This window comes from Homo sapiens, chromosome 11 (genome assembly GCF_000001405.40).
Source record: "Homo sapiens chromosome 11, GRCh38.p14 Primary Assembly".
NCBI lineage: Eukaryota > Metazoa > Chordata > Mammalia > Primates > Hominidae > Homo > Homo sapiens.
The window spans coordinates 134,345,231-134,372,842 of NC_000011.10; the positions used below are offsets into that span (position 1 = coordinate 134,345,231).

At 49.7% G+C, this 27,612-nt stretch overlaps 1 protein-coding gene across 6 annotated transcripts in view, besides 2 other annotated features; it reads left to right on the plus strand.

Moving 5' to 3' along the window:
- The window catches only part of GLB1L2 (galactosidase beta 1 like 2), a 44,337-nt gene that overhangs the window by 13,243 nt on the left and 3,482 nt on the right, over positions 1 to 27,612 (plus strand). For 3 of the 6 annotated variants that reach the window (XR_007062523.1, NM_001370461.1, NM_138342.4), the window contains exons 5-15: positions 2,095 to 2,203; positions 11,071 to 11,163; positions 13,830 to 13,911; positions 19,098 to 19,168; positions 22,027 to 22,111; positions 23,414 to 23,551; positions 24,575 to 24,655; positions 25,063 to 25,169; positions 25,778 to 25,918; positions 26,191 to 26,262; positions 26,522 to 26,600. Coding sequence is in view for 5 of the 6 variants with exons in the window: in NM_001370461.1 (NP_001357390.1) it covers positions 2,095 to 2,203; positions 11,071 to 11,163; positions 13,830 to 13,911; positions 19,098 to 19,168; positions 22,027 to 22,111; positions 23,414 to 23,551; positions 24,575 to 24,655; positions 25,063 to 25,169; positions 25,778 to 25,918; positions 26,191 to 26,262; positions 26,522 to 26,600 (1,058 nt within the window). In the remaining variant the exon portion in view is untranslated. Of the gene's footprint in view, positions 1 to 37; positions 619 to 2,094; positions 2,204 to 11,070; positions 11,164 to 13,829; positions 13,912 to 14,629; positions 14,792 to 15,023; positions 15,487 to 19,097; positions 19,169 to 22,026; positions 22,112 to 23,413; positions 23,552 to 24,574; positions 24,656 to 25,062; positions 25,170 to 25,777; positions 25,919 to 26,190; positions 26,263 to 26,521; positions 26,601 to 27,612 lie in introns of those variants that run through there. The other 3 variants (NM_001370460.1, NM_001370462.1, NM_001370463.1) reach the window with 3 other exon arrangements.
- Positions 4,398 to 4,457: a silencer, noted in NCBI's record as "silent region_4099". NCBI's record gives its function as "represses an Ori minimal core promoter by ATAC-STARR-seq in GM12878 lymphoblastoid cells {active_cell/tissue: GM12878}" and the evidence as "EXISTENCE:reporter gene assay evidence [ECO:0000049][PMID:35858748]".
- Positions 13,487 to 14,010: an enhancer, noted in NCBI's record as "H3K4me1 hESC enhancer chr11:134228611-134229134 (GRCh37/hg19 assembly coordinates)". NCBI's record gives its function as "activates a minimal SCP1, AML or CMV promoter by ChIP-STARR-seq in primed H9 embryonic stem cells {active_cell/tissue: H9 hESC(primed)}" and the evidence as "EXISTENCE:reporter gene assay evidence [ECO:0000049][PMID:30033119]".

The following is a 27,612-nucleotide window of genomic DNA, read 5'->3' on the forward strand; positions in this document are numbered from 1 at the left end:
GTTCCAGTTCCCATTCTGTACTGAATTTCCTTTTCAGGAAAAGCAGCACCCAGAGGGGATCGCTTTCAGTGATGCTGCAGTGAGTGCCCTCACGTAGCCATGCATGGGCTGCTTGTGTGACAGGCAGCAGCAGGGCTGGCCCTCCTGGCATCTCATGCTTCAGGACTCTGCTGTGGAGCTGTGAGTCCTGGCAGGTCATTCACCTGCGTGTCTGCAGTATGGGAAAAATCCGACCTTCCCTGTCTGTTTCTTTTTTTTGAGACAGAGTCTTGCTCTGGCACTCAGGCTGGAGTGCAGTGGTGTGATCTTGGCTTACTGCAACCTCCGCCTCCCGGGTTCAAGCGATTCTCCTGCCTCAGCCTCCCGAGTAGCTAGGGTTACAGGTGTGTGCCACCACGCGCAGCTAATTTTTGTATTTTTAGTAAAGACAGGGTTTCACCATGTTGGCTAGGCTGGTCTGGAACTCCTGACCTTGTGATCTGCCCACCTCGGCCTCCCAAAGTGCTGGGATTACAGGCATGAGCCACCGCGCCCGGCCTTCCCTATCTCTTTCTTAGGAATGTTACCAAGCATATTTTGAAAAGTCCAAGTATTTTGATAAAGTATAAGAGAAACAAATTCTTGTTATGGTTTTGTCTTCCTATCTCGGCCCACGTGTGTCATCTTCCCAGTGCTAGTCTTGGCTGAGTTTGGTGTTCTGTGGTTGGAGTGGAAATCTGGACAGGAATCAGCTGGGACTTCATTCATTCCTCATCCTCAACATTGTGGCCTTTAAGATTTTCTTGTTAACTGGTGTAACCTTTCTCAGCCTCCCAGTGTACCAGGTGGTTAGACCCAGACTGCCTCAGGGAAGAGGCTGATCCTTGTCCCCAAGCCGTCTCCCCTCCCCTGGTCCCTGGGGAGCCCTGGGCTTCTTTTCCTCCTGGTTTCCAGCATGACCCGCCCTTCCCTCGGGGGCATAGCTTCTGTCTCCACTACCCAGGGCCACTTCTCAGGCACTGATCCATCCAGCCTGGTAGGCTCACCCTAGTCACGAACACAGCCAGGGCAGCCTCTCCCATCCCTGTGGATTAGAAAGCTGTGTGCCACCGTCAGCGATTTCCTCGGCTCAGCCGGGGCCGGGCACAGGAGGACGAAGGGTTTAACAGTCTTAACTTAGAAGCAGTGGGGAGCTGTGGCACTCAGACTCCCCCTTCTCACCCCGCCCATGTGGCACCTGGCCATGCATGAGAGGGGCATGTGGGCACACCTGCGGAGGGGGCGTCCGGGCGTGAGTGAGAAGGCTAACCTGTCAGGTGGGGTTAGAATGTGGGGGTGTCGGTCTGGAGGAAACTGCTCTCTCCTCACCCCTTGTTTGACCCACAGAAATGGGATAATTTCCTGACCCTGTTTAGGACTTCCAGACCAGGGCAAGAGGAGCCTCAGAGCCTTTTGTTAGAAAATATGTGTCTTCTCAGAACCTGAAGTGAGAAGGAAGAGCCCTGACTCCAGCTTTGGAACCAATCCACGCTGCTGTGTTCCTCTGGGGAGTTTGGGATCATAGCAACAGGGTGGAGGGAGAATTCAACTCTTGCTCACCTGCTGCTCTGGGCTGTGCGCCACTGATGCCAAGGCGTTAGCCACGTTGGCAAGGATGGGGACTGCCTCCTGCTCAGCCCCTCGCAGTCTCTGTCAGGCTTGTTTTTTGGGGTGACGCTAGAAGGTTGTGTCTCCTCCTTCCACAGCCTCAGTGATTCCTAACCCTTTTGACTTCACTTTTTGAAATGGGATCACAGAGCAAGTTGTTGAAAACTAGGCCTGGAGTCCTGTGAAAAGCTTTTCTCACTGCTGGCAGCCAGGCCCTGTAGCTGTGGAGCTGGAAATGAACTTCCACCAGGCTGTGTCCTTGGGGAGGGAAGCTGCAGGAGTGCGGGTGGGTGCTCGCCCCAGAATCGGTTTGCATTGTCTCCCCACTTCTGGGCTCAGTGGGGTGGAGGAGGGCACAGGTCATTCTGGAGCACTGGGGGGCCTCTCCCTTCTCACGCATCAACAGCCTGCTCACAGCAAACCCACTGTGACACTAACATCCTTCCTTTCCCCCGTTTACACTTCAAGCTGGCTACTCCAAGACCCTGGCATGAGGCTGAGGACAACTTACAAGGGCTTCACCGAAGCAGTGGACCTTTATTTTGACCACCTGATGTCCAGGGTGGTGCCACTCCAGGTACAAGCAAATGGGGTCTTCTTTGATCTTGGTCTGTCTTCCTCTAGGTCGTGGATCATCCTTGGTTAGTTCTCAGACCAAGGGTCCTCCAGTGTTTTGAACACACGAGCAGGCTCTTCCTCACCGTCCGAGACTCGTAACTGAGGGGCTTGCAAGAGTTGTCTTTGGAAAGATCTGTGCATTTCAGTGTTGTCTCACTTGGGTGCGTTACTGAAAGGACAGACAGATGTAAGGGCTCACATTGCCACATACAGCACTGGAGAGACAGGGATGCTGTGATAGCCGGGAACACGCATCCACTGGCATCTCCATGGTTCCACAGAGACAGGGATGAGGTGATAGCCGGGAACACCCATCTATCTACCAGTGTCCCAGTAGCACTGCGGCTCAGTTTTGCACAGGGTGGAGCACATGTGGATTAACCTTTGCCTATAAGACTGCAGGACTTTTTATAAATTATAAAATTCCTTTCGCTGACTTTACGAGATACTTCCCTCTGCTACCAAAAAGGTGCTGCATGGTACACACTTACTATTCAAAACATGCGTTAAAGTACGTTTTGGGGGAGGAAGTACCTTAATATTTTATATAATAATTGGAAGCTTTGGAAAGCAGGAATGGGAAAAATCAACCCAGTTGCTGTGTAAAACCAGAAAGAACGGCATTGAGAAATTAGTACATCAATAAAAAATTAGTTCAAGTCAGTGGTATGGAATACTCACCACACACATAAATCAAAGGGAACTGCCAGATGAAACACAGGATGCTCAGTTATATTTGAGTTTCAGATAAGCAAGGAATAATTTTTTAGTGTAAATATATTCCAAATATTGCATGGGTCATACTTACACTAAAAAATTATTTGTTGTGAATTCAAATTTAACTTTATGTCTGGTATTTTTGTTTACTAAATCCGGCAGCCTTAACCATGACAGAAGCAAGGAACTAGGAAGTCATTAGCCTAGATCTTGCTGGGAAGCTGGGGATCAGCAGGTTGTAGGAGTCGGGTGGGCAGCAGGATGGCCGTCCTGGGAGCAGGCTCAGAGGCACTTGCAGACGTGCAGCGGGTCACCAATGCATCTTTTTGAAATAAACGATAACATAATTATTATTATTTAACATATTTAAATAATCACATAGTTATTTAATTTTTGTGACTATGGGATAGTATACATAACATAAACTTTGCCATTTTAACCATTTTGAAATGTACAGCTCAGCGGCATTGAGTCCACCCACACTGTTGTGTGCTCATCTCCACAGCCTTAGTTCAGGCTGCCACAACCAAACACCTAGACTGAGTGGCTTACAGACAAAGAAATTCATTTCTCCCAGTTTTGGAGAGTGGGAAGTCCAAGAACAAAGCACTGGCAGATTCGGTGTCTGGAAGGGCCCCCTTCCAGGGCATATACGGCCATCTTCTTGATGCAACCTTACATGGCAGAGAGCGTCAGAGAGCTCCCTGAGGTCCCTCTTATAAGAGCACTAGCCCTGTTGGCAAGGACTCTATGCTCATAACTAATCACCACCCAAAAGTCCCACCTCTGAATACCGTCACAGTGGGGGTTAGGATTTCAACATGTAAATTTTGGGAGAACACAGTCTATTGCAACCACTGTCTATCTCCAGTCCTTTTCTGTCTTCCCCAATGTAAACTCTGTGCCGTTAAACCCTCCATTCTTCCCTCTCTCAGCTCCTGACAGCCATTCTACTCTCTGTCTCCATGCATTTGATCATTTTAGCTACCAAATATAAGTGAAATCACATAGTATTGTGACTGGATTATTTCACTTAACAGCGCCCTCAAGGTTCATCTGTGTCATAGCCTGTGTCAGAATTTCCTTCCTTTTTAAGACTGAATTATGTTCCATTGCATGTATATAACACGTTTGTTTATCCTTCATCCATTGACGAACGTTTGAGTTGCTTCTGCCTTTTGGCCACTGTAAATAAAGCTGCTGTGAGCATGGGTGTACAAATACCTTTCTGAGCCCCTGCTTTCGCTTCTTTTGGGTATATACCTAGAAGTGAAATTGCTGGATCAACTTGTCATTCTACATTCAGTTTTTTTTAGGAATTGCCATACCGTTTTCCACAGAAGTTGCACCAAATTACATTCCCACCAGCAATACACAAGCTTTGCAATTTCCCCACATCCTTGCCAACACTTGTTATTTCCTGTTTATCTGGGGAGAGCCATCAGTGGGTGTGAAGTGGTATCTCATGGTGGTTTTGATTTGCATTTCCCTGGTGATGTTGAGCATCTTTCATGTGCTGATTGGTCTTTTGCATATCTTGGAAGAAATGTTTATTCAAGTCTTCTGCTCATTTTTGAATCTAGTTGTTTGTTTTTATGTTGTTGATTATAGGAATTCTTTTTACTTTCTGGAGATCAATTCCTTAACAGGACCTGCCAGGACTGGGTCCTTCGCTTCAAGGCAGCAGGTTCCCTTTTGGCTCAGGGTATGTCTAGAAGTGTCTGGAAGCTAGGGCCTGGAACGAGGGCCTCTTGACTCTGCCGGCGCCCTTTCCTACTGTGGTTGAGCTGGATCCAAGATGCAAGACAAAGTCCTCTTTACTCTTTGCTCTCCTCTCCTTAAGCAGAAGGAAGGAGCCACTTTCGTTGCTGTGAGCTGCGCTACCTGGGCTTGGGGGAGGGATGTGCAAGAACTCCCTTAGCCATGCCAGCTGGTGGCTCCTTAGGCCATGCGCTGTGCTAGTACACTGGCTGTAAGCTCATCCTAGCTCCAGGAGTTGCATAGGAATTGCGGTCTTTGTGTCCTAGACTGCCTTTCATGTTTACCTAGGACTCCAGAGCACTTCAGCCCATGGTGGTGAGGCTTCCCAAGAAACTCAAGTTCCAATCACTAGGGTGGGCAGTTCCTCTCTGGCTAGGGCTGGTCCAAATGCTCCGTCTACGTGGATGCTGGCTGAGCTCAGCATGGCTTTATCCTGTGCTGTGACAAGGCAGCACTGAGTTCAATGTAAAGTTCCCCAGTCACTGTGCTCTCCCTTCCCCAAATGCACAGATCCTCTCTCCTCACCACTTGGCTGCCGCTGGGAGATGGGAGAGGGTGGCATCGGTGGTGTAAGGCTGTCTCTCTTGCCTGCCTTAATGCGTCTTTTGGTGATATGAAGTTAAAACCAGGTACTGTGACGGGTCACTTGAGTTTCGGTTTTTGTCATGGTGCTTTTCTGCGTGCAGATCACTGTTAAAATTTCGTGTTCCAGCAGGACGGATGAACGGTGCAGCCTTCTATTCCTCCATCTTGCTCCACTGTCTTTTATTTTCTTTTAGTATTTTGTTTGTAATGTACAATCAGTGTACAAATATTTCACCTCCTTGATTAAATGTATTCCCAAGTATTTTGTTGTTTTTGATGGTGTCGTAAATGGAATTGTCCCCTGATGGTGGATAAAAACAATGCATTTTTGCACATTGATTTTTTTTATCCTGCAAGCTTACTGAATTATTAGCTAGATAGTTTTTTTTAGGGGTGTGGGGATGTGCACTGTTTTCTGCATTTAAGATCATGTTGTCTGTGAACAGAGATAACTTCTTCCTTTCCAACTTGGTTGCCTTTATTTTTTTCTTGACTAATTGCTCTGGCAGGACTTCCAGTACCGTGTTGAATAGAAGTGCTGAAAGCACGAATGCTTGGTTTGTTCCTGATCGTAGAGGAAAAGTTTTCAGTCTTTCACCAGTGAATATGATGTTGACTGTGGGCTTTCTGTATGGGGCCTTTACTATGTTGAGGTAGTTTCCTTCTGTTCCTAGTTGACTGAGTGTTTTTTATCATGAAAGAATGTTGAATTTTATCACTTTTTTCTGCATCAATTGGGATCATCATGTGGTTTTTCCTCTTAATTTTGTTAATGCGGTATATTACATTGATTGATTCTTTTTCTTTCTTTTTTTTTTTTTTTTTGAGATGGTGGTTCCCTCTTGTTGCTCAGGCTGGAGAGCAATGGCGCTATCTCAGCTCACTGCAACCTCCTCCTCCCAGGTTCAAGTGATTCTCCTGCCTCAGCCTCCTGAATAGCTGGGGTTACAAGCACCTGCCACCATGCCCAGCTAATTTTGTATTTTCAGTAGAGATGGGGTTTTACCCTGTTGATCAGGCTGGTCTCAAACTTCTGACCTCAGGTGATCCACCTGCCTCAGCCTCCCAAAGTGCTGGGATTATAGGCATGAGCCACCATGCCTGGCCTACATTGATTGCTTTTCACATGGCAAATCATCCTCGCATTACAGGAATGAATCCCATTTGATCATGGTTTATAATTCTTTTAATATGCTGCTGAATTAAGTTGGCTAACATGTTGTTGAGGGTTTTGGCATCAGTATTCATCAGGACTGTTAGTCCGTGTTTTCTTTTCTCATAGTGTCTTTTGTTTGTAATAAAAGAAAAAAGTGTCAACTTTTTTTGACACTTCTATATCCAGCAAAACTCAAAAATGAGGGAAAAATTAAGAAATTCCCAAAGAAAAGTGAAAAGAGTTTATTACTGTATTCTACCTTATAGAATAAGGTAGGAAGTGTTCCTTCCCTTTCAATTTTTGGGAAGGGTTTGAGGAAGACTGGCGTTAATTTTTCTTTAAATATTTGGTAGAATTTACCAGTGAAGCCATCTGGTCCTGGACTTTTCTTTGTTGGGAGGTTTTTAGTTACTGATTCAGTGTCCTTACTAGTTATAGGTCTGTTCAGATTTTATATTTCTTCATGATTTAGTTTTGGCATATTATATATTTCTAGGAATTTGTGTGTTTCATCTAGGTTATTTAATATTTAATTTGTTGGCGTACAATTTGTTCATATTCCTCTTCTGTAATCGTTTTTATTTCTGTAAAATCAGCAGTAATAGCCTCATGTTGTTTCTGATTTTAGTTGAGTCATATCTTTTTTCTTAGTTTAGCTGCAGTTTGTCAGTTTTGTTGATCTTTTCAAATAACCAACTCTTGGTTTCATTAATTTTTCTTTATTGTTTTTCTATTCTCTCATTGTCTATCTCTGCTCTAATCTTTATTATTTCCTTACTTCTGCTACCTTTTAGTTTGTTTCCCTTTTTCTGGTTTCTTAAGGTATAAAGTTAAGTTGTTGGTTTGAGACCTTTTGTCTTTTAAATGTATTTATAGCTATAAAATTTCCCTCTTTGCACTGCTTTCACTGTAATTCATAATTTTATTTCCATTTTCATTTTTCTCAATATGTCTTCTTTTTTTTTTTTTTTGAGATGGAGTCTCGCTCTTGTCGCCCAGGCAGGAGTGCAGTGGCATGATCTCAGCTCACTACAACGTCCGCCTCCCAGGTTCAAGTGATTCTCATTACTCACCCTCCCAAGTAGCTGGGATTACAGGTGCCCGTGACCACGCCCGGCTGATATTTGTATTTTTAGTAGAGACGGGGTTTCCCCTTGTTGGCCGGGCTGGTCTTGAACTCCCTATCTCAGGTGATCCGCCCGCCTTGGCCTCCCAAAGTGCTGGGATTACAGGCGTGAGCCACTGCGCCTGGCCTCAATATATTTTCTAATGTCTCTTGTGATTTCCTCTTTGGACTATTGGTGAAGATTTTATTTCCACATACTTGAATTTTTCAGGACTTTTTTGGTTATTGATTTCTAGTTTCATTCCATTGTGATTGGGAAAAATAAAACTTTGTAAGATTTCAATTTTTTAAATTTATTAAAGCTTGAGGCTGGGTGTGGTGGCTCATGCCTGTAATCCTAGCACTTTGGGAGGCCGAGGCAAGTGGAACACTTGAGGTCGGGAGTTAGAGACCAGCTTGGCCAACATGTTGAAACCCATTCTCTACTAAAAAATACAAAAATTAGCCAGGTGTGGTGACGGGCACCTGTAATCCCAGCTACTTGGGAGGCTGAGGCACAAGAATCACTTGAACCTGGGAGATGGAGGTTGCAGTGAGCCAAGATTGTGCCACTGCACTCCAGCCTGGGTGACAGAGCAAGACTCTGTTTTTTTTTAAAAAAGAAAAATTTATTAAGGCTTGTTTTTTTGGCTTACTATATGGTTTATCCTGGAGAGTGTTTTATGTGCCCATGAGAAAAATGTGTATTGTGCTACTTTTGGGTGGAATGTTGTGTATATATATGTTTGGTCCAACTGGTCCATAATATTGTCTAGGTCCTCTATTTGGTTACTAATTTTCTGTCTGGTTACTCTATCCATTATTGATATTCAGATATTGAGTCTCCTACTATTATTGTCTATTTTTCCCTTTAATTTTGCCACTGTTTGGCTCATATACTTTGGAATTCTGGCATTTGGTGCATATATGTTTATAATTGTTATATCCTTTTGGTGAATTGACCCTTTTATCATTATATATATTTTATCATGTCTTTGTCTCTTGTAACAGTTTTTGATATAAAGTCTATTTTGTTTGATATTAGCAAAGCCACCCCTCCTCTTTTGATTACTGTTTGCATAAAATATCTTTTTCCAGCCTTTCACTTCCAACCAATAAATATCCTTAGATCTGAAGTGAGTGTCTTGTAGATAGTATATAGTTGGATATCGGTTTGTTAAAAATCCATTCTGCCAATGTATGTCTTTTGATTGGGGAGTTTAATGTGTTTACATTCAAAGTAATTACTGATAGAGAATCACTTGCTTTTGCCATTTTGTTGCTTTCTGTATGTCTTACAGCTTTTTGTCCCTCATTTCCTTTATGACTGCTTTACTTTGTATCTAGTTGATTTTTTTATAGTGACACTTTTTTATAACGATTCCCTTTACCTTGGGATAAGGTAAAGGATATATAATATCCTAAAGTTGTGACATTCTGTTTTAAATTGATACCAACCTAACTTCAACTGCACACAAAAACTCCTTTACAGTTCTGCCCTTCCACTTTATTTTATTGATGTCACAAATTATGTCTTCATATTGGGTGTACCCATTAACTTAAATTTATAATTATTTTATGTCTTTTAAAATCTTGTAGAAAATAAAAAGCCACATTGTAAAGAAAAATTATAATAATATTTTTATATTTTTTATGTGTCTATCTTTGCTGGAGAACTTTATATTTTCATATAGCTTCAAATTACTCTCTAGCATTTTTTCATTTCAACTTTAGGTGTTTTTTTTCTAGGGAAGGTCTAGTGGTAATGAACTCTCTTAGCTTTACTTTGGGAATTTCTTAATTTTTCCCTCATTTTTGAGTTTTGCTGGATATAGAAGTGTCAAAAAAAAAGTTGACACTTTTTCCTTTCAGCACTTTGACTATATCATCTCATTGCCTTCTGGCCTGAAAATTTTCTGGCTGAGATATCCTTTATAGTCTTATTGAGGATCCCTTGCCTGTGACCAAAACTTTTTCTGGCATTCAAGAATCTCTCTTTGTCTTCAATGGTTTGATTATAGAGTGTCCCTGAGTGGTTCTCTGGAATTTTTTGAGCTCCTTAGATTTATATAATCTTGTCTTTCCTCAAATTGGAGAAGTTTTCAGCTATTATTTTGTAAAAATAATCTCCCTGCCCTTTTATCTCTCTTTTTCTTCTAAGAAACCCATAATTCATATATTATTCTGCTTGAAGATGTTGTGTAAGCCCCTTAGGCTCTGTTCACTTTTCTTTATTCTTTTATCTCCTCAGACCTGATCATTTCTGATAACCTGTGTTTAAGTTTGCTTTTCTTTCTTCTACCTGTTTGAATCTGCCGTTGAACTCCTCTAGTGAATTTTTCAATTTATATATGGTATATTTCAGCCCCAGAAGTTCCTTTGGTTCTTTTAAAAATAATCTCTGTTTCTTTGTTGATATTCTCTTTTTCTTCATATATCATTTGCCTGGTTTCCTTTAGCTCCTTGAGCATATTTACGACAGCTGTTATAGATCTTGCTCTACTGAGTCTGGTGTGTGTGTTTCTTCAGATACTGCTTTTGGAGATTTATTTTGTTCCTTTGATGAGTCATACTTCCCTGTTTCTTTTTATGTTTGTGTTTTTTTGGTTGAACATTGGGCTTTTGAAAAAACAAACACCTATTTCAGTTTTTGCATGTTTTCAGGGGAACCCTCACTAATTAGTGGGCCCCTAAGCCCGGAGATCAGCCCAACATGAAGACTTAAGAGCTGATATTTTCTGGGCATGTGTTCTGTCTGTATCTGTGTGTGTGCTTCCCTCCCTACCTCCCCTCCCTGGTCGCTTTCAAGGGTCTTTAATTCCCAGAGTCTCACCCCAGCTTCTTCTTGTGGCCTTAGATGCTTTTCATTTTCTTTTGCTGTAATTCTTTTCCCCCAGGCATCCAAGGCTTTATAGTCCTCTGGCAGCTTTCATATGCTGCCATCTTTAGCTTCCAGCCTGAAGTCCAAACTATGTTGACGATTCCTGTTTGAGCTCCATGTCAGACAAGACAGAAACCAGTACGTTGGGCAGAACAAGTTAGAACATCGTGAACAAGTTAGAACATTGTAAACAAGTTAGAACATTATCAACAAGTTCCATTTTGCTTCTTCCCCATGAGGGAGCGGGGAGTTGGGACGCATCCTCCTGACCACACCATGCTACATTGGGGTGGGGCAAGAACTTGTGAAAACATCATACAATTTTGTACCATTTTGCATATGACTTTTTGTTTTGATTTGGTGGTCACTTGTTTGGTTAGACACTTAAATGGTTTCCAGAGCTCCTATTAAGTTATTTTAGTCAGTCTGGAGTTGTTTTCTTGATGTTTTCATGGGAGAACAAGGGCCTAGTGCTTCTTCCACTGTCTTATTGATACTAATCTTTTGAGATTTTAGTTTTCAATGGGATCTTTTGCTAGTCACTGGTGATGGGCGTGGCAGGGTTGGATACTACAGTTCCCCTGCACACTCAGCTCCTGGTTTTCTGTCTTTTCTCCGCAGTACAAGCGTGGGGGACCTATCATTGCCGTGCAGGTGGAGAATGAATATGGTTCCTATAATAAAGACCCCGCATACATGCCCTACGTCAAGAAGGTAAGAATCCTCTTAGTGCGTTTCTTTAGATTCCTTCCTCTGGAGTGTGCTATAGGCTGTGGTGTGACATGTGGGTCTAATATTTTTCTCATATTAATACATCCTCCAACATCATGTATTAGTGAATTTTCTCTGTTGTTTTATTTCAACAGGGTTGTCACTTATTTACCCTTGATTGAGTTTCATCTGGGAATTTCAGTACACACCTGGTATTGCAGGGGCTGGGAATAAAGGAATTGGCTTAATTGCGTGGTGATGATTAGGAAGGCTTCCTGGAGAGGCGGCTCCAATTCTAAAGTCTAAAGCAGTGGTTCCCAGCCCAGGCTGCACACTGGCTCTATCTGGGGAGTTTTAAGAAATCCCTGCGCCCAGGCCATGTACCATACCAAGCAAAGAAGAATCCTTGGGGTTCTCAGACATCTGGTTTCAGTGTGTAGGGAAGGCTGAGAGCCACTGACTCAATGCATGACTGACCAGCGAAGGGCAGAGCCACACTTAAAATAACAGGCTACATTCAGATCTGCTTTCTGTCCCTTAGTAGCTGAGACCTTGAACAAATGCCTCGAGTTTTTTCTAAACCTCCTTTCTCTCTTCTATAAAGTGTGACTAATAGGAGTATTTACCTTTCCAAATTGTGAGTATGATGTGATATCCCGCAGCTCAGTACTGTTCTAGTAAGTCGTCAATAAATAAGACCTTGATGGAATCATTGGCATTTGCTGTGGAGTACCTTGGAGGTTCGGCCATGGTGTGAGCTGAGGAAGTGTAAGTGGCCGCAGTGACTCCACCTACCTGAAGGCCGGACGGCTTTGGGCCTTGATGCCTGGGCAGCATCCCTTCTGCTACGACGTGCAGAGCATTTTCCGTCTGGAAATTAATTCAGTCCCTCCACGTGGGAGACCGAGGCTCAGTCCCTTCAACTTGTGGGTTCATGCGTACTCTTCCCCCTTCTCACCTGCAGAAAGCCCTCTTAGGAGGAAGCAAGGCCGTGTCCAGGAAGGGTGGCATTCCTCAAGCTGGAAAGGGGCAAGGTCCATTCTGATGGCCATGCCCAGCCACGGCCTGGAGTAGGGCACTCCTTCAGCTTCCTACAGAAAGATCCCATCCCAGCACAGGACTTGAAGCGTCTCCTGCGATACCCCATTCCCGCAGACTGTCTCTTGGCCCTGGGGCCTCTCAGCGGTTGTTGACTCAGTTACTCAGCTGCAGAGAAGGAGAGCCCCACGAGAGGAGAGTGCAGCTCCCTCAGGGACGTCCTGCTCCACTCATGCTTCCCTGGTGTCGGGGCGGAGGCGCCCATGTGTGACTCAGGTGGGCAAAGAGAAGCAGCAGCGTCCAGCCTCTGTGGTCCGGAAGCTCTTGGGAGAATTCACCAGCCTCTCTCTGAGGCTGCTGGGAGAGTGGTGTGAGAGAACAGGTGCCTGCTCCCAGCCTAGCTCTGCAGATCTCTGGTGCTCAGGCGGGAGCAATTATCCCCTCTGGGGTGGAGTCGGTAAATGAATGCCCAGGAAATGTTAAGTGTGTGTGTATGTGGTAGGGACCTAAGTAAATGCTTGCTAAATATCAGTGAATGATAGTGTGAGGTGGTAGATACAGGACTCTTGATTAATCCCACCTGGGCTCATGGATTGAACTCTGCAGCTCTCCTGTGCCTGAGACCAGAGCCCCCTCTGCTCTTTCCTTCCCCGCGTGTGGGACTGGACACGAGCCTTATTCGCCCAGCAGATGATCTCGCTGTCTATCCACTTCCAAAAGATTTCAGCGGAAATAAACAGTCTTGGCATAATATCTGCAGGGAAGATTACGAGAAGACACCTCTGTTGGGATTTTTGATCCAAAAGATCCTAGCACCTCAGCACAGAGCCTTTGGCTCTGGGTTCAGGCCCACGTTGCCATGGGCCCTGTAACCTGCGATGCTTGACTTCACGCCTCCGAGGCGCGTCTCTACTGTGAAGACAGCAACTGCAAGGCTCGCGTAGGACAGTCTGTGTATGAGCGGAGGGCCTGGCGTGGCAGTGACTGCTCTGCGGATGTCAGGGGACGCTCTGAGTGGTGATTGTCGTCACTGCCCCTCAAGCACAGCGTTTCTTCCACTTCACTCTCTGCTTTACAGCTGGGAGGATGCTTCCTGCTGTTCTGGGCATGGGCAGTGCACCGTGGGCACGTGACAGGGCATGGTGGGCCCTCCTGGGCCTTGCCATCCCCCAAACCCACACCGGCCAGCGTGGGGAAGGGACAGGCCTGTTGCTTGTGCTGTGAGAGAAGGGAAGGATGTAGGTGTCGTCCTGGAGGCCTGACCTACTCGCTGGAGCCCAGCAGACAGTGGCGGGTGACACGCGGCAGCAGGCTTCCCTGAGCTGGCCTCAGTGTAGACTCGCCTAGGCATGCTAGCTGGCCCACCGGGCACCTTCCAGATCCGGAGCAACCAGGGGCTGCCCTAGTTTGCCAGCCCTGCCCCTGCTGTGATGGGAATTCATGCTGATTGGAGCTGTGCTGAGCATGGCCGGTGCAGATGGCAGGAGACTTTTCTGTTTTTGGCAGAGAAATAAACGCTTTATTTGTCATCTCTCCTTCTAGCTCTTCAGGCTACCCAACTGCAGCTGTGTGTCACTGCAGAAGCTCTAAGGAGCCAGGGCAGACGAGGGCTTGTCTCATTTCCCCCACAGGCACTGGAGGACCGTGGCATTGTGGAACTGCTCCTGACTTCAGACAACAAGGATGGGCTGAGCAAGGGGATTGTCCAGGGAGGTAACTGCACTTGTGTTGGGCCGTGGGGGCTGGCGGCGGCCCTGGGCTGGCTGTGCACGCTCCCGCTGTGGGACTGCGACCCAAGTAGGAGTTTCTCTGGTGCCTGTTATTCTCCCGTGCATATGGCACTGGGCTGCAGACACCCTTGGGTTCCATGAGTGGGGAGGGTCTGTGTGAGAGATTGTGGTGCGTGGCTGGCTGGGTGGCTGTTCTCCTGCCCTGCTGGGCACTCGGGCTCCAAGGGCACTCTGCAGATGACTGCTTCACGTGCGGGCTTCCTGTTTTCAGAACATCGCAGCTCCGTTCTTCCCAGCTGCATGGGCCCCGAACCTGGTAGTGACTGTGAGCTCCTCTCCATTCCGCCTGGCACCTAAGCCATTGTTTGCTTTATCTCCCAGTGCTCCTGGAATCCCTACAGGCCTAAGCAGTTGCCTGCTAGCAGCACCCCTGGCCTGCATTGCTGCAGTAGCATTTTCACTGTTGACTCCATAATGTGTTCTCAGCATATCAGCCTCCGTGTGCCTCTGAAAATGTCGTCCAGATTACCCTATCCTGCTGAACGCCAGGCATCTCTGTCACACTCAGAGTGAAGCGCAGGTTCTGGGAATGACCTCGAAAGGCCTCTCCACTTGGCCTCCAGGACCTAGCTGAGCTCACCTCCTGCTCCTTCCCTTTGCTCACACCGTTTCACCCTCTTTACTGTTCCTCCAACATCCAGATCCCCAGCCTGGGGGGCTTTGCTCTTCTTCCAGAGAGCTACATGGCTGTTCTCCGAAGTTAGCGAGGCTTTCTGTAGCACCACACTTGAAATTGAACTTCTTCCTTCGTGGGGCTCACTCAATCCTTCTCCCTGCTTTCTTTTCGCCCTCTCACCTTCCAGGTAGTTTATTTATGTCATTCATCTGTTTCACCCAGCAGTACTCTTGGCGGGGCTTGGGCTTTGGCTGGTTCAGGCTGTGCTCAGGGGCCCAGGCGTGGTTTGTGGCCTTGGTGAGCATAGCGCCCTCCCATCGTTGCAGCGGGGCCCTTCCTGTGGCCTCCTGCACCCGTGCTTGTGTCTGCTCTGGCACATTCCACGCTTTCTTTTCTTTCTTTTGCATTTCCTTCCACAGACCGAGCTGCTGGAAGATCTCTCTATATCCCTGCAGCAGCGCCTAGCTGGCACCCAGGGAGTGAAGGTCCATGAATGGCGAGGAAAAGGCTTTTGTCCCCAGGCAGAGTCAGTCAAGGACCCAGACCTCGTGTCTCCGGCATGGGGAGGACCAGCAGTGATCCCCACGGCTTCCACGCGGTGGCGCCGTCTCCCCACGGCTGCTTCCAAGGCCTGCTCCGGGCTCCGCAGGGCTGTGGCTGTGTTGGGAGACTCCTGGTGCTGGAGCACGTTTTAGCGCTTGGCGGCCTCCCGGTTTCAGGCCTTGCAAGGAAGCCCGGGAGCCGCCACTGCTTTTCCCTGTGGCCCTCCCACCTCCAGGCACCCACCTGCGTGCCCCTGTTGCCACCTGCTGCCCGGAATAACTTCTTTTTTTTTTTTTTAATTAAAAAAATTAAATGGTCTAAAAGTGAAATAATCGAAAATGTTGGTAGAGAAATACAGTGTTGCCTACTCTTCGTTACATTCTCCAGAAATGACCATTTTCAACTCTTTGACTTTTTCTTTGGATATTTTCCTTCTTATTTCCAAATACTGTGAACATACAGCCCTGCATCGTTTGCTTTAAAAGTTCTGCCTATTGGCCGGGCAGTGGCTCAGGCCTGTCATCCCAGCGCTGTGGGAGGCCGAGGCGGGCGGATCATGAGGTCAGGAGATCGAGACCAGCCTGCCCAACATGGCGAAACCCTGTCTCTACTGAAAATACAAAAAATTAGCCGGGTGTGGTGGCGGGCACCTGTAGTCCCAGCTACTCGGGAGCTGAGGCAGGAGAATCCGTGAACCCGGGTGGCGGAGTTTGCAGTGAGCCGAGATTGCACCACTGCACTCCAGCCTGGACGACAGAGCAAGACTCCGTCTCAAAAAAAAAACAAAAAACAAAAAACATTATCCGAGCGTGGTGGCGGGTGCCTGTAATCCCAGCTACTTGGGAGGCTGAGGCAGGAGAATTGCTTGAATGTGAGAGGCAGAGGTTGCAGTGAGCCCCGATGGTACCCCTGCACTCTAGCCTGGGTGACAAGAGCAAAACTCCGTTAAAAAAAAAAATTCTGCCTATTGACTTCTTGTTCCAGTAGGTGATGAGTGTTCTTTCCTGCCAGCATGGCTGTTCAGCCCTGATAGGCGCCAGCGTGGGCCTCGCGGATGTGTATGACAACGGTTCACTGCAGGCACCTGCCACGTGGGTGATGCCCTGCACAGTATCTGTGAATTCTCAGGGTGCCAGCCGGCTCTGCAGTGTGCTTAGTTTTCAGTGTAATTATTCTGTTTGTTTTTCTTTTCATTTCAATTCTCTTTCCTCCCCTCAACTCCCCTGGTGCCGCTTTCTCTTTTAAACAAATGCTTTGCCAGAGATGTCGCAGATGCCTGTCGATGGTGTTCCTCAGGTCCTGTGCCTGTCCGGTTCTGCCTGGGTCTGATCCGGCTCGTGTGGAGGCCTCGCTCTCATTGTTCTGGCCTGCATGGTGGGGGGTCTGCTGCTTGGCTGCATCCCGCGTGGAATCCTGCTTCCTGGAGTTCCAGGAAACAGGATGTTTCTTGGTGCTCCGTGGCTTCCCGGCACCTGCTGTTGCTGCTTCGGCACAGGGGACTCCGGCTCCCGAGCGTTTCCTGGGTCTTCTTCCTCCTCGCCCCCGGCCAAGTTCCTCAGGGAGCCCGCCCTCCCCTTCTCGTGCTGCTGCGCATCCGGGGAGCGGCCCAGTTACGCTCACCATGGTGGGCCGTGCGGGTTGTGCGTGTCTTTCGTGGTGCTCCACCCTCTCGTCCTCGGGTCTTTCGGTCATCCTTGTGTTTGTGTATTGGGTGCTTCTGTAGATTGTCTACGTCTTTTCTGTTCTTTATCTCTGTGCCTTTCAGCTCTTCTTTCTGGGTGACTTCCTGAGCTTTTATCTTCCAGTCCTCCCGTCATTTCCTGGGTCACGTTTTTCTTGAATGTATTTCTCTTCTCATAGCATACTTTAGAAATGGATACTACCTTTCTTATTTCTCTCCGAGGGTAGTTTGCTTTTTACAAAAGCGCTGCCCGCGTTCCCTTCCCCGGCGCTGCCCGCGTTCCTTCCCCGGCGCTGCCCGCGTGTTTTTCTGCTGGCTGTTCCACTCCATCTCCTGCGCGAGGGGATGCTCTGGATCAGCCGCTACCCAGCAGCTTAGGAAAGAGGCTCTCGGCTGCCACTCGGAGCGCCGGGTGTGGGAGAGGCTGTTGACAGGAGTTCTTCCCCCTGGGATGACTGGGCCGTGGGGCTTTTTCAAGAAGGGACACTCACTTGTCGGAGTGTGGGGCTGTGTCTGCCACTGTTGAGTGTTTCTGGAGAAGTCCTGGGTTCTTGCCGCAGCTGTTCTGGGCCAGGCCGGCGGTGGACAGGAATGTGCTGTGGACACTGCCTTTCTTCCTCTTCCCGCCCTCCCCTCCACCTGCCACACACGCCCACTCCCGCAGCAGCTCGGGCCCAGGGTTCTCAGGCAGGATGGCCCCCGAGGAGGGGATGGGCCCAGGTGGGAATGAGGATGAAGGCTGAGGACAGGGCATCCTCCCATCTCATGGTGACCAGGTCCTGGGGCTGGGAGTGGGGTGAGGCCTTGGGCTGGAGCTGGAGCCGACTGTCACCCCTTCCGCACTCCTAGACCATTTACTGTCCCTGTGTCCTTCTCAGTGTTCCAGGATTTGCCAGTGTCTCTTCTTGTTGCTGTTCCTCATGGCCGTCTACCTGTCCACTCTCCGCTTGTATTTGTGAGACGTATCAGGAAGGACAGGACAGAGATGCTTGTGTTCACTTAGCCCTGTGCATCCTGCGGACTTTGAGTTCAGCCTGCTCAGTTTCAGACTGGCCTCCTGTCTTCAAAGGGCTTCTGGCTTGAGGGGAGGGGTCTGGGTGGAGGGTCCCACCCAGTGGGCTGCTGGAGGGCAGGGACAGGGCAGAGCTATGGTATGGTGTCAGGGAGACCCAGGTGTGCAGTCCCGCTCTGCCGCTACCTGAGGCCAATTATTGTGACCTAGAGGCAAGTTATTTCACTTCCCCGGAGCCCCAGCTGTCGCTTGCGTTCCTTCACTGGCAATCAGAGGCTTTCGTCCTGCAGCAGAGCATCAGGGTGGCCTGGCTTGCCAGGCTGGCTCAGCCTCTCTGGTGTGTGCCTAGGCTGTGCCTGTGAACTGACTGTTAGGCAGATAGCAGGCAGGTGAGGGGCCCCAGGATAAGGCTGTGCCACTGGGGTGGGCGTGGGCATGCCCGGGTGTCAGCCAAACAGAGCGCACCTTTCTTGAGCATATGTTTCACTGATAGAAAGCCACTGAAAATAGCATTTTAAATTTTAAACGGAACATGTTATGGGGTAGAATACAGAATTAGCCCTTATCAAGAAATCAGAGAGGAATCTTTGTTTACATCATTACCTTGGACCGGATGCTTGGGGTGCCAAGGAAGGATCAGGCTCTGGTTCGTACAAAAGAACAAGGAACAGAGTGCATGCTCGGCTTGTAGAAGTCACAGTTGATTGAGATCAGGTGCACAGCGAGTGACTGCCTCTCAGCTCTGTGCTGCTGTGGCGGAGTCTCCAAGACAACAAGATAAGTCTCCTGGCGTCCTGGCTGACTTATTTATTTATTTATTTTTGTGAGACACAGTCTCACTCTGTCACCCAGGCTAGGGTGCAATGGCACAATCTCAGTTCACTGCAACTTCTGCCTCTTGGGTTCAAGTGATCCTCCCACCTCAGCCTCCCAAGTAGTTGGGATTACAGGCATGCACCACCAACCCTGGCTAATTTTTTTGTGTATTTTAGTAGAGAGGGGGTTTCACCATGCTGGCCAGGCTGGTCTCGAACTCCTGGCCTCAAGTGATCCACCTGCCTTAGCCTCCCAAAGTGTTGGGGTTACAGGTGTGAGCCACCGCGCCTGACTGTGGCTGACTTCTAACTGGAGGTGGGAAACGGTGTCAGGGCCGCTTACTTTATTGTGCTGGTGGATTGAGAAGGGTCTGGGGTCACCTAGAAGGTCCCTGGCTTTGAGACAGTGCTTTGTCTCTCTCTCTCCTCTTCCCTTTAACAGTCTTGGCCACCATCAACTTGCAGTCAACACACGAGCTGCAGCTACTGACCACCTTTCTCTTCAACGTCCAGGTAAGTCCAGCCCCAGGGAAGCTGCGGCCCGCCCTGCTCAGCGGCCTATGGGAATTCTGAATGCCTGTCAGCGTGCTCAGCTTCCCCAGCGCAGGGAGCTGGACTCAGGGCTGATGGCCTCTGGCCCCCCGCCCATGCCACTGTGTGCCTGCAAGGCCCGCTGCCCAGAAACACCTCTGAGGGCTGCTGTGTAGGCTGATGCAGTGTGGACATCACCCACTGCCCTGAGAGAGGGGCCCTTTTGGTGCACTCCTAGAGGACTCGACTTTTGTGGCCTCAACTAGCTCCAGACTTGCTCCCAGGGATTGAGGGGGGAAGGAAAAACTTCCCTGTCCTATACTACACAGGCATCCGACCTTAACCTGTGAGGCCCCTGCAATCCTAGAAAGATTATTGTCATCAGCAAGGCAGAAAGCCTGGTCCACTCCAGGTGCGGAGAGAGGGAGGAGTTTCCAGATGTCCCTCAATATCTGTCAGACTGATGGGCATTTATGCCACCCTGTAGTTCTGACTGGCCTCTTTCTCGAGCTCGCGTGCCCCTCCGAAGCAGGTGGATGGACAGGGCCATGCTGCAGCCCTCTGCAGACCTGAGAGGCCCCAGCTGTCCCCTGGCTCACTGAGGGGCGTGGATGCTCCAGACTGCCCCCACGCTGCATCGTCACACTGGTCCTGGGCCTGGAGTGGAGTTGTGCTTGGATGGACAGGCATGGATGGCTGTGGAGACGCTGGGCTGCTTTCCATTCCGGCTGATGGCCTTTCAGAGCAGGGGCTGTGTCCTCAGGCACATCTGCGTGGAGCCACCACAGCCGTGTGGGGCCGTGTGTGTGTTTGATGTGGCTTCTCCTGGAGTTCAGCTGCCAGAGTAGGCGAGGAGGCTCCCAGGAGGAGGTGGGAGGGCTGGCCCCGCTCCCAGGCAGGCTCCTGTGACGCAGATCAGGCGCGATCCAGCTGGGTCTCTGCCTTCCTTTCTTGGCATTTCCTGAGTGCCTGCCCATGTGTGCAGTGGAGTGGGGGGTGCCTCTCATACTTGTGACTGAGATGACAGGGTCTCCTGCCCTGTGCTGTGTGACCTTGGGCAAGTTACTTAACCTCTCTGTGCGTCTCTCTTCTTCTAAGTGGGGATGATGAGAGTACATTTCCTTATGGTGTCAACTCACAGGGTTGTTTGAAGATTAAATGAGGTAATATTTGGAAAGTGCCTAGCACAGCAGCTGATACAGCAGAATGCCTTATGTTTAGCCTTCAAGGTCATCCTTAGAGGGGTAGCCACGCGCGAGCCTTCCCAGGCCAGCTGTCCTGCTAACAGAATGGCCCTGCTGAAGGGCTTTATGTGCGCAGTCCAGAGATGTCTGTTTTCCTGAAGGAAGGGGACTTGGACACCTCCCTGTTTAAATCAAGGGCTCTCTGAATGCACAGCACAGGCCTCCAGGTGTGCTCCATGTGGCGATGTCCGATAGCACCTCACTCGTCCTCTGTGTCCATGACCCGTGATGGACAGAACTATGCAAGTGTTTCTTGAGCACCTCCTACCTGCCAGGAACAGTGTGCTAAGGGTGTTATGTGCACTCTCCCGTTTAATTCTCCCAATAGTCATATGAGCCAGTGAAGGAGACAGCTATAGAGTGTATAAGACACCCTGTAAGTAGTGGCTTGGGGACTGCAGAACAGTCTCACTACAGAGCTCCAGCTCTTAGCCAGTTGTGCAGTGCAGTGGCCTGGCCCATGGGTGGACACCCACCTCCGCAGCTCTGGTACCCTCAAGCCAACAACCTTGCTTCTGGCATGGGAGATTTCTGACTTGTGGGACTTTGAATCTGCTTCTCCCTTTTTAGTGATTTAAACGTGGTATGGTATGTCTCCTTCTTGGAAGGTAGGTGGCTTGTAAAGAAAACCAAGCCGCCAGTCTTGCTAGAAGAATTCTTGTAACTACTTTGGCTTTAACCCGGGTATGGCTGGTACCTTCTACTCAATGGACCGTGAGTTTGTCCCATCCCCCTGGATCAGATTTTGTTGCTGTGTATGCGGTATCCCTCTAAACATAAGGCTATCACTGACCTAGAGATACTTGACAAGCTGTCACTGAATAAGTGAGGAAGGCTCTCTCATGCAGAGCCTGAAATACTAGCGTGTTAGTCTTTACACCTCCCCCAGGTGCTCTGGGCTTCTGCAAACGTGGCAGAGTGGAGCATGGTCCCAGGAATGATCTTGGCCTCCTTGGGGCCGTCCTATGCCAAAGTCAGTATTCAGAAAGAAGATTTAAGATTTGTTGAGTGGCCCAGCCAAGGTATAAATCCAAACTGTCAGTGCAGAACCTGCACCATGAATAGCTGTGCTGTAAGGCCCTGATTTTCTGGTTCAGAAAATGCTGCAAACTGCTGTTTAAACTGAGTTGGACCTTGAAGAGGGCCCACTCTGCAGCGTCTGATTTTTCTGCTAATGGAGCCAGTACCCAGGGTGGGGGGGAGGGATCTGCATCCACAGTATCCCTCTCAGATATGGAGTTGTCCTGGGTAAAACATCCCCCTTCCCTGGAAGAGGACAGGCAAAGCTTGGCTTGATCCTGGACCAGTGTCTTCTTGCTAACACGTATGCAACATTAAAACCATCAGGGTTTGCCATATCGACTTTGGGAGCTTTATCTGCTCTATACCTGCAGGAGGCCACATGTGGCAGGAGAACTGGTGTGCAGGCGAATTTGGCCCTCACCTATGCCCCACCTCCAAAGACCTCTAAGGCAGTGGGTATGCAGACAGGGAAGAGTAGAGAGGGCAGAGATCCTGGGGCTCCCCTCCATGAAGAGCTTCCCTCTTTTTTGTCTGGCCAGCCTGCTTGTCTAACTCTCATTTTGTGGTGTCCAGGGGACTCAGCCCAAGATGGTGATGGAGTACTGGACGGGGTGGTTTGACTCGTGGGGAGGCCCTCACAATATCTTGGATTCTTCTGGTGAGTGCTTGCGGTGACTACATCCAGAATGTGTGCTACTTAAGAAGTGAGGATGAGTTTCAGTCACCTGCTAACTAATGTAAGCCATAGGGGGTGCAAGGCTGCTGGGATTATCTGTGTGCAGAAGTTGGCTTTGGATATTCCTGAGTCATTTGTCTTGACACTTGGATGAATGGGAGGGCTTTTAACATTGCTTGTTCGTGTTTTTGTAATTAGAAGGGTAATGCATGCCTATTGCAAACATCCAGAAAATACAGAAAAAGTATAGAGAAGAAATAAAATTCCCAGAGCACAGAGAAAACACTTAGCTGTTTACCACGCAGGCAGTTCTCTCTGTATCTCTGCCGACAGCTCTATACGCACACACAGATAGAGACAGATGCCATCACACTCCGCTGCATGTCACCTGCTTGTGCCAGTTAATGCACATACGGACAGCTTTCTGTATGACCAAATACAGATTTACATGACTGTTTTAAAGAATGTGAAGAGCCCCATTCTAAACCACACTTTGTGGACACAGTCTCCCGGGTTGTTTCTGGTGGTTCTGTTAAGCGCACGCCATCCCGGCGAGCATCCCGGTGAGCATCCCGGAGCCTGCGCTCTGCGCACCCGGCTTTCCCTGGGATGAGCGGCACAGGGGCTCCTCGGCACCGTGTAGATGTGCATGCTCGCCCCTCAGCCCCCGGAAAGACGGCAGCTTCAGCCGCTGCTGCTGAATGGGTGCACCCATTTCCCACAGATTCAGCAACACCGAGTATTAAAATAACTTTTAATATTTGTCTACTCAGTACATCATTGTTTAGTCTGCATTTCTTTGATTTATATTGATAAAATATATATTTATTAACCATTTGTTTTTCTCCTTTGCTATGATCTTGTTATGTCATGGTTCATTTCCTAACAAAGGTAGAATAGGAGGTGTCAGAGTTTTCTCTCTAAGGATGCATCCCATCTTTGTGCACTTGATACACCTGGTCAGGCAGACTCACATGGAGACTGTGCTGGCTGGAAGGCCCTGGCCGACCTGGGCTGCAGGTGGTCCACATGGAGCTCAGAGACTTGACCAGGATTGACAGACAACTGGAGGCTCGAGCTCTGGGGCCATGATTCTGGCCCACACTTCCTCCTCCACCCCTAATCTTCTGTGATTGGGGTTTTATGAGAGCTAGAAGGACAGAGTGACAAAGTTGGCCTTGAGGTTTTGAGGTGGGACTGGGAAAGAGGAGAGTAGTGAAGGGACCCCGGCTCATCTCAGACTTTAACTCACTCTGCACATCCCCTTTCTCCCTCCTCCGGCAGAGGTTTTGAAAACCGTGTCTGCCATTGTGGACGCCGGCTCCTCCATCAACCTCTACATGTTCCACGGAGGCACCAACTTTGGCTTCATGAATGGAGCCATGCACTTCCATGACTACAAGTCAGATGTCACCAGCTATGGCAAGTATTCATCAGCACTGCTCTCCCTGGTCTGCCCTGCATGGGCATGGCTGGGACTTGCTATGGAGAGGCCCTCAGGGTCAACTTCTGGCACCTTCGTGTCTTTGGCAATAGAGTACCTGGAGAAGGTACTTGCCTGGACAGTCATGTTACACTCCCAGAGGAGGGAAGCCTCAAGGGAGGTGGTGTGCCTGTGAGCTGGTCACTCTACAGAGAGGCCTCTTTGGCAAAGGTTGGCCTGAGGAAGTGGAAGGAGACCGCCCTAGGGGGACAGGGAGGGACGGTGGCCTCCCCTCCCTGCCCAGGCCCTTGAGGAGGTGTGATCCTGCCTCCTTTAGGTTGAGAGTCCCAGAAAGTAGAAATTACACCTGCAGCTAGAAATTTAGGGCCATGCTGTGATCATGGACAGTTTGTGTTTTTTTGAATTTGTGAGAGAGTTATCACTCTGACACCCAGGCTGGAGTGTAGTAGTGTGATCATAGCTCACTGCAGCCTCAAATACCTGGGCTCAAGTGATCCTCCTGCTTCGGCCTCCTGAGTAGCTGGGACTACAGGTGTGCACCCCCACCTCTGGCTAATTTTTAAAATTTTTTGTAGAGGTGGGGGTCTCGCTATGTTGCCCAGGCTGGTCTGGAACTCCTGGCCTCGAGCGATCCTCCTGCCTTGGCCTCCCAAAGTGCTGGGATTACAGGTGCGAGCTGCTGCACAAGCGATCCTCTTGCCTTGGCCTCCCAAAGTGCTGGGATTACAGGTGTGAGCCACTGCACAAGCGATCCTCCTGCCTTGGCCTCCCAAAGTGCTGGGATTGCAGGTGTGAGCCGCTGCACCTGGCCTTATGGACGCTTGTTGTAGTTGCCTGGTCTTTCATGTTTACAGTATTTTGACTGAATGGCTCAAAAGTGTCTTGCCTCCCCAATGGCTGAGATGAAGACCTGTGGCCCTTCCAAGCTTCTCCCTGTTCTTCGTGCTACATGTGCTGTGCTGGGGACAGGAATGACCATGACAGGGCCCGGTGTCTTGCAGACTATGATGCTGTGCTGACAGAAGCCGGCGATTACACGGCCAAGTACATGAAGCTTCGAGACTTCTTCGGCTCCATCTCAGGTACCCAGCAGACAGCAGACTCAAGTTCCAACTCAGGCCCTCGCTTCTGCTCTCAGACCCCTAAAGAGTTACTTCCTTACTGTCCCACCTCGACCCCAGTTGATCTGCGTGCAAGAATATCCTAGACAAGGACAGGGAGGTGTGTGAGGCTGTTTCCATCTTGCCGGCTTCACCTGTTACAGGTGTTAACGCTCCTTATCTCCTGTGGAGGACGGGAGAACGCCCTGGCTTTCCCCCAGGCCTGGCCTTCCTCCCTGGCCTCAGCAGGTGCTGAGAGCTAGCCTGTTGTTCCTCTTGGTGCTGGGACGCAGGAGCACATCGGGTCTGTGGATGGGAGCCGGGTGGGGAGGACGAGCAGGCAGTGACATTTGGGTCCGTTGGGGGTGACCCTGTTTTCTGTGTTGCAGGCATCCCTCTCCCTCCCCCACCTGACCTTCTTCCCAAGATGCCGTATGAGCCCTTAACGCCAGTCTTGTACCTGTCTCTGTGGGACGCCCTCAAGTACCTGGGGGAGGTGAGTGCTGTGGGCAGTCATCGGGAGGTGAGTGAGTGCCGGGGGCAGTCGTTGGCAGGGAGGTGAGTGCTGGGGGCAGTCGTCGGCGGGAGGTGAGAGTCGTCGGGGCAGCAGGGCCTGGAGCCCCTCCAGACAGGGAGTGTGGGGGGAGGCAGGCCAGTGCCTGGTGGCTCTGGGGTCTGCTCTCCGGCCTTGGAGCTCAGAGGGAAGAGGACAGACTCATGCTGGAGTGTGAAGTGGGAGAAACAGAGGTCCCTGAGGAACAGCGGCTGGCCCCGTGGGCCTTTCCTTCCTCCAGCCTCAGAGAGGAGAGTGAGGGGCAGAGGAACAGGCCGTCCCCTCCCCAAGAAGGGGGTGCCTCCTCCGGCGGACTGAGGCTGTGATGTGTGTCCCCTGCCTGCGGACTGCACTCTGCTGGTGCACACCCCTTTGCCCCACTCCTCTTCCCCGTCACCCTGGAGAGTTGTATGTTTAGTGCAATGAGAAGTCAAAGTAGAAAACACCCACCAAACCTCCGCTTCCACCCCATGTGCCAGCCCCCAGGCAGAGTCTGTCTGTGACCCCACTCCTCCTGAGCCTGCCCACCCCTCCATCTCTTCTGTACGCAGCCAATCAAGTCTGAAAAGCCCATCAACATGGAGAACCTGCCAGTCAATGGGGGAAATGGACAGTCCTTCGGGTACATTCTCTATGAGACCAGCATCACCTCGTCTGGCATCCTCAGTGGCCACGTGCATGATCGGGGGCAGGTAGGAGCTTCTCTTCTAAATTCCTGTGACCTTCTGGTGAGCAGCTCTGCAATAGGCGTCTCATGCCCTCCCCTCAGAATCAGCTCTTACCAGTGTGTGACAATGGCCCTTCTGAGTCAGCTCTGTGAGCCTTCAGGGGGCATTCATGTCTGCTCTGCCCACTGGCCCCTCGTCTGCCTACAGGCACGCGTGCTGCCCTTCTTGGCCTGGAGGAGGTCCCGCTTACCCTCCTCCTGTTGGTCATGGATGTTCCTGCCTGTTCCCTTTGGCAGGTGTTTGTGAACACAGTATCCATAGGATTCTTGGACTACAAGACAACGAAGATTGCTGTCCCCCTGATCCAGGTTCGTTGTTTTTGGGAGCTGGGTGATGGCTAGCCCCCGCTGCTTCGAGGAAGTCTGGGGGCAGTCACTGAGGAAAACCTGGGAGACCCGTGGCTCCTTACCCACAAGCTGTAGGTGGAGAGGGCGAGTGTGGCTTTCTGCCCAGCTGGGATGTACACTCCCATCCCCAGAGCGTAGGGAAGAACTGGGGTCCACAAGCAAATTCTGAGGGGCAGCTGTGGCCTTCTGACAGTCATCGTTAGCCCCGTGTTCCCGGCAGGGTTACACCGTGCTGAGGATCTTGGTGGAGAATCGTGGGCGAGTCAACTATGGGGAGAATATTGATGACCAGCGCAAAGGTGGGTCCCAGAATGTGTCAAAAGAAGAGTGGCCATGCTGGACACACAGGTGGCTATTGCTTCTCTATGCTAGCAGGCCACCAGGCCATGGAGGCCTCTTGCAGGGAGGTGGAGGCTGGGTTGTCCCATACATGAGGCCAGTTCTGAGTGGGCCAGAGAAACTCCGCTGGGCTGTGGCCCCTGTCCTGTTAGCACTGCACGCGTGCATCGTCTGCGTGCTCGTGATAAACACTGTGAACACTGAGCTGGCCTCTTGTCTCCCCTGGGCTGCAGTCGGTTTCTGCAAGGATGTCTGCTTGGGGGGGCGGCAGTGAGGAGCAATGAATGTGATTTCCAGGAATCCAAGGAAAGGCACAAGACCCCTGCCTTCTTGGGCCTCCACACTGAAGTTCTCTTCTTGATCCATCTTGGGAAAGCTTATCTCAGATGTTGGGGGAGGAGGATGCGGGACATACAGCAAACAAAACACCTGTTGGTAGCGTACCCCTCTGGGAATAGGCCGCCAATTTGCTTTATGTTTCCTGGCCTACTAAATCTTTTATGCTTTAATTTAGCCCTTCCTTTTTTTTTTTGAGACGGAGTCTCGCTCTTTCACCCAGGCCAGACTGCAGTGGTGCAATCTCGGCTCACTGCATGCTCCACCTCCCGGGTTCATGCCATTCTCCTGCCTCAGCCTCCCGAGTAGCTGGGACTACAGGCGCCCGCCACCGTGCCCAAATTTAGCCCTTCCTTTTTAAAAAAAATCTAGCTAAATGTGGGTGGTTTCAGGTAAGTTATAAAAAAAGAACTCAGAACAAAATGAATGCGACTGTGGTGAGCAGCACCGGTGACCTCCCAGCTCTCTCACGGTGTCTGCGTTTGTGACGGAGGAAACTTGAAGAGCTCTTATTGGTCCACATTTCCTCCGAGAGCCGTCTGGTGGCCTGCCAGGAAAGCCACGTGGCCCAGACACTGGGGCCTGGATCCTGGGGATCAGGGCCCTTCTAGATGGGCCTCAGAGCGGCATCTAGCA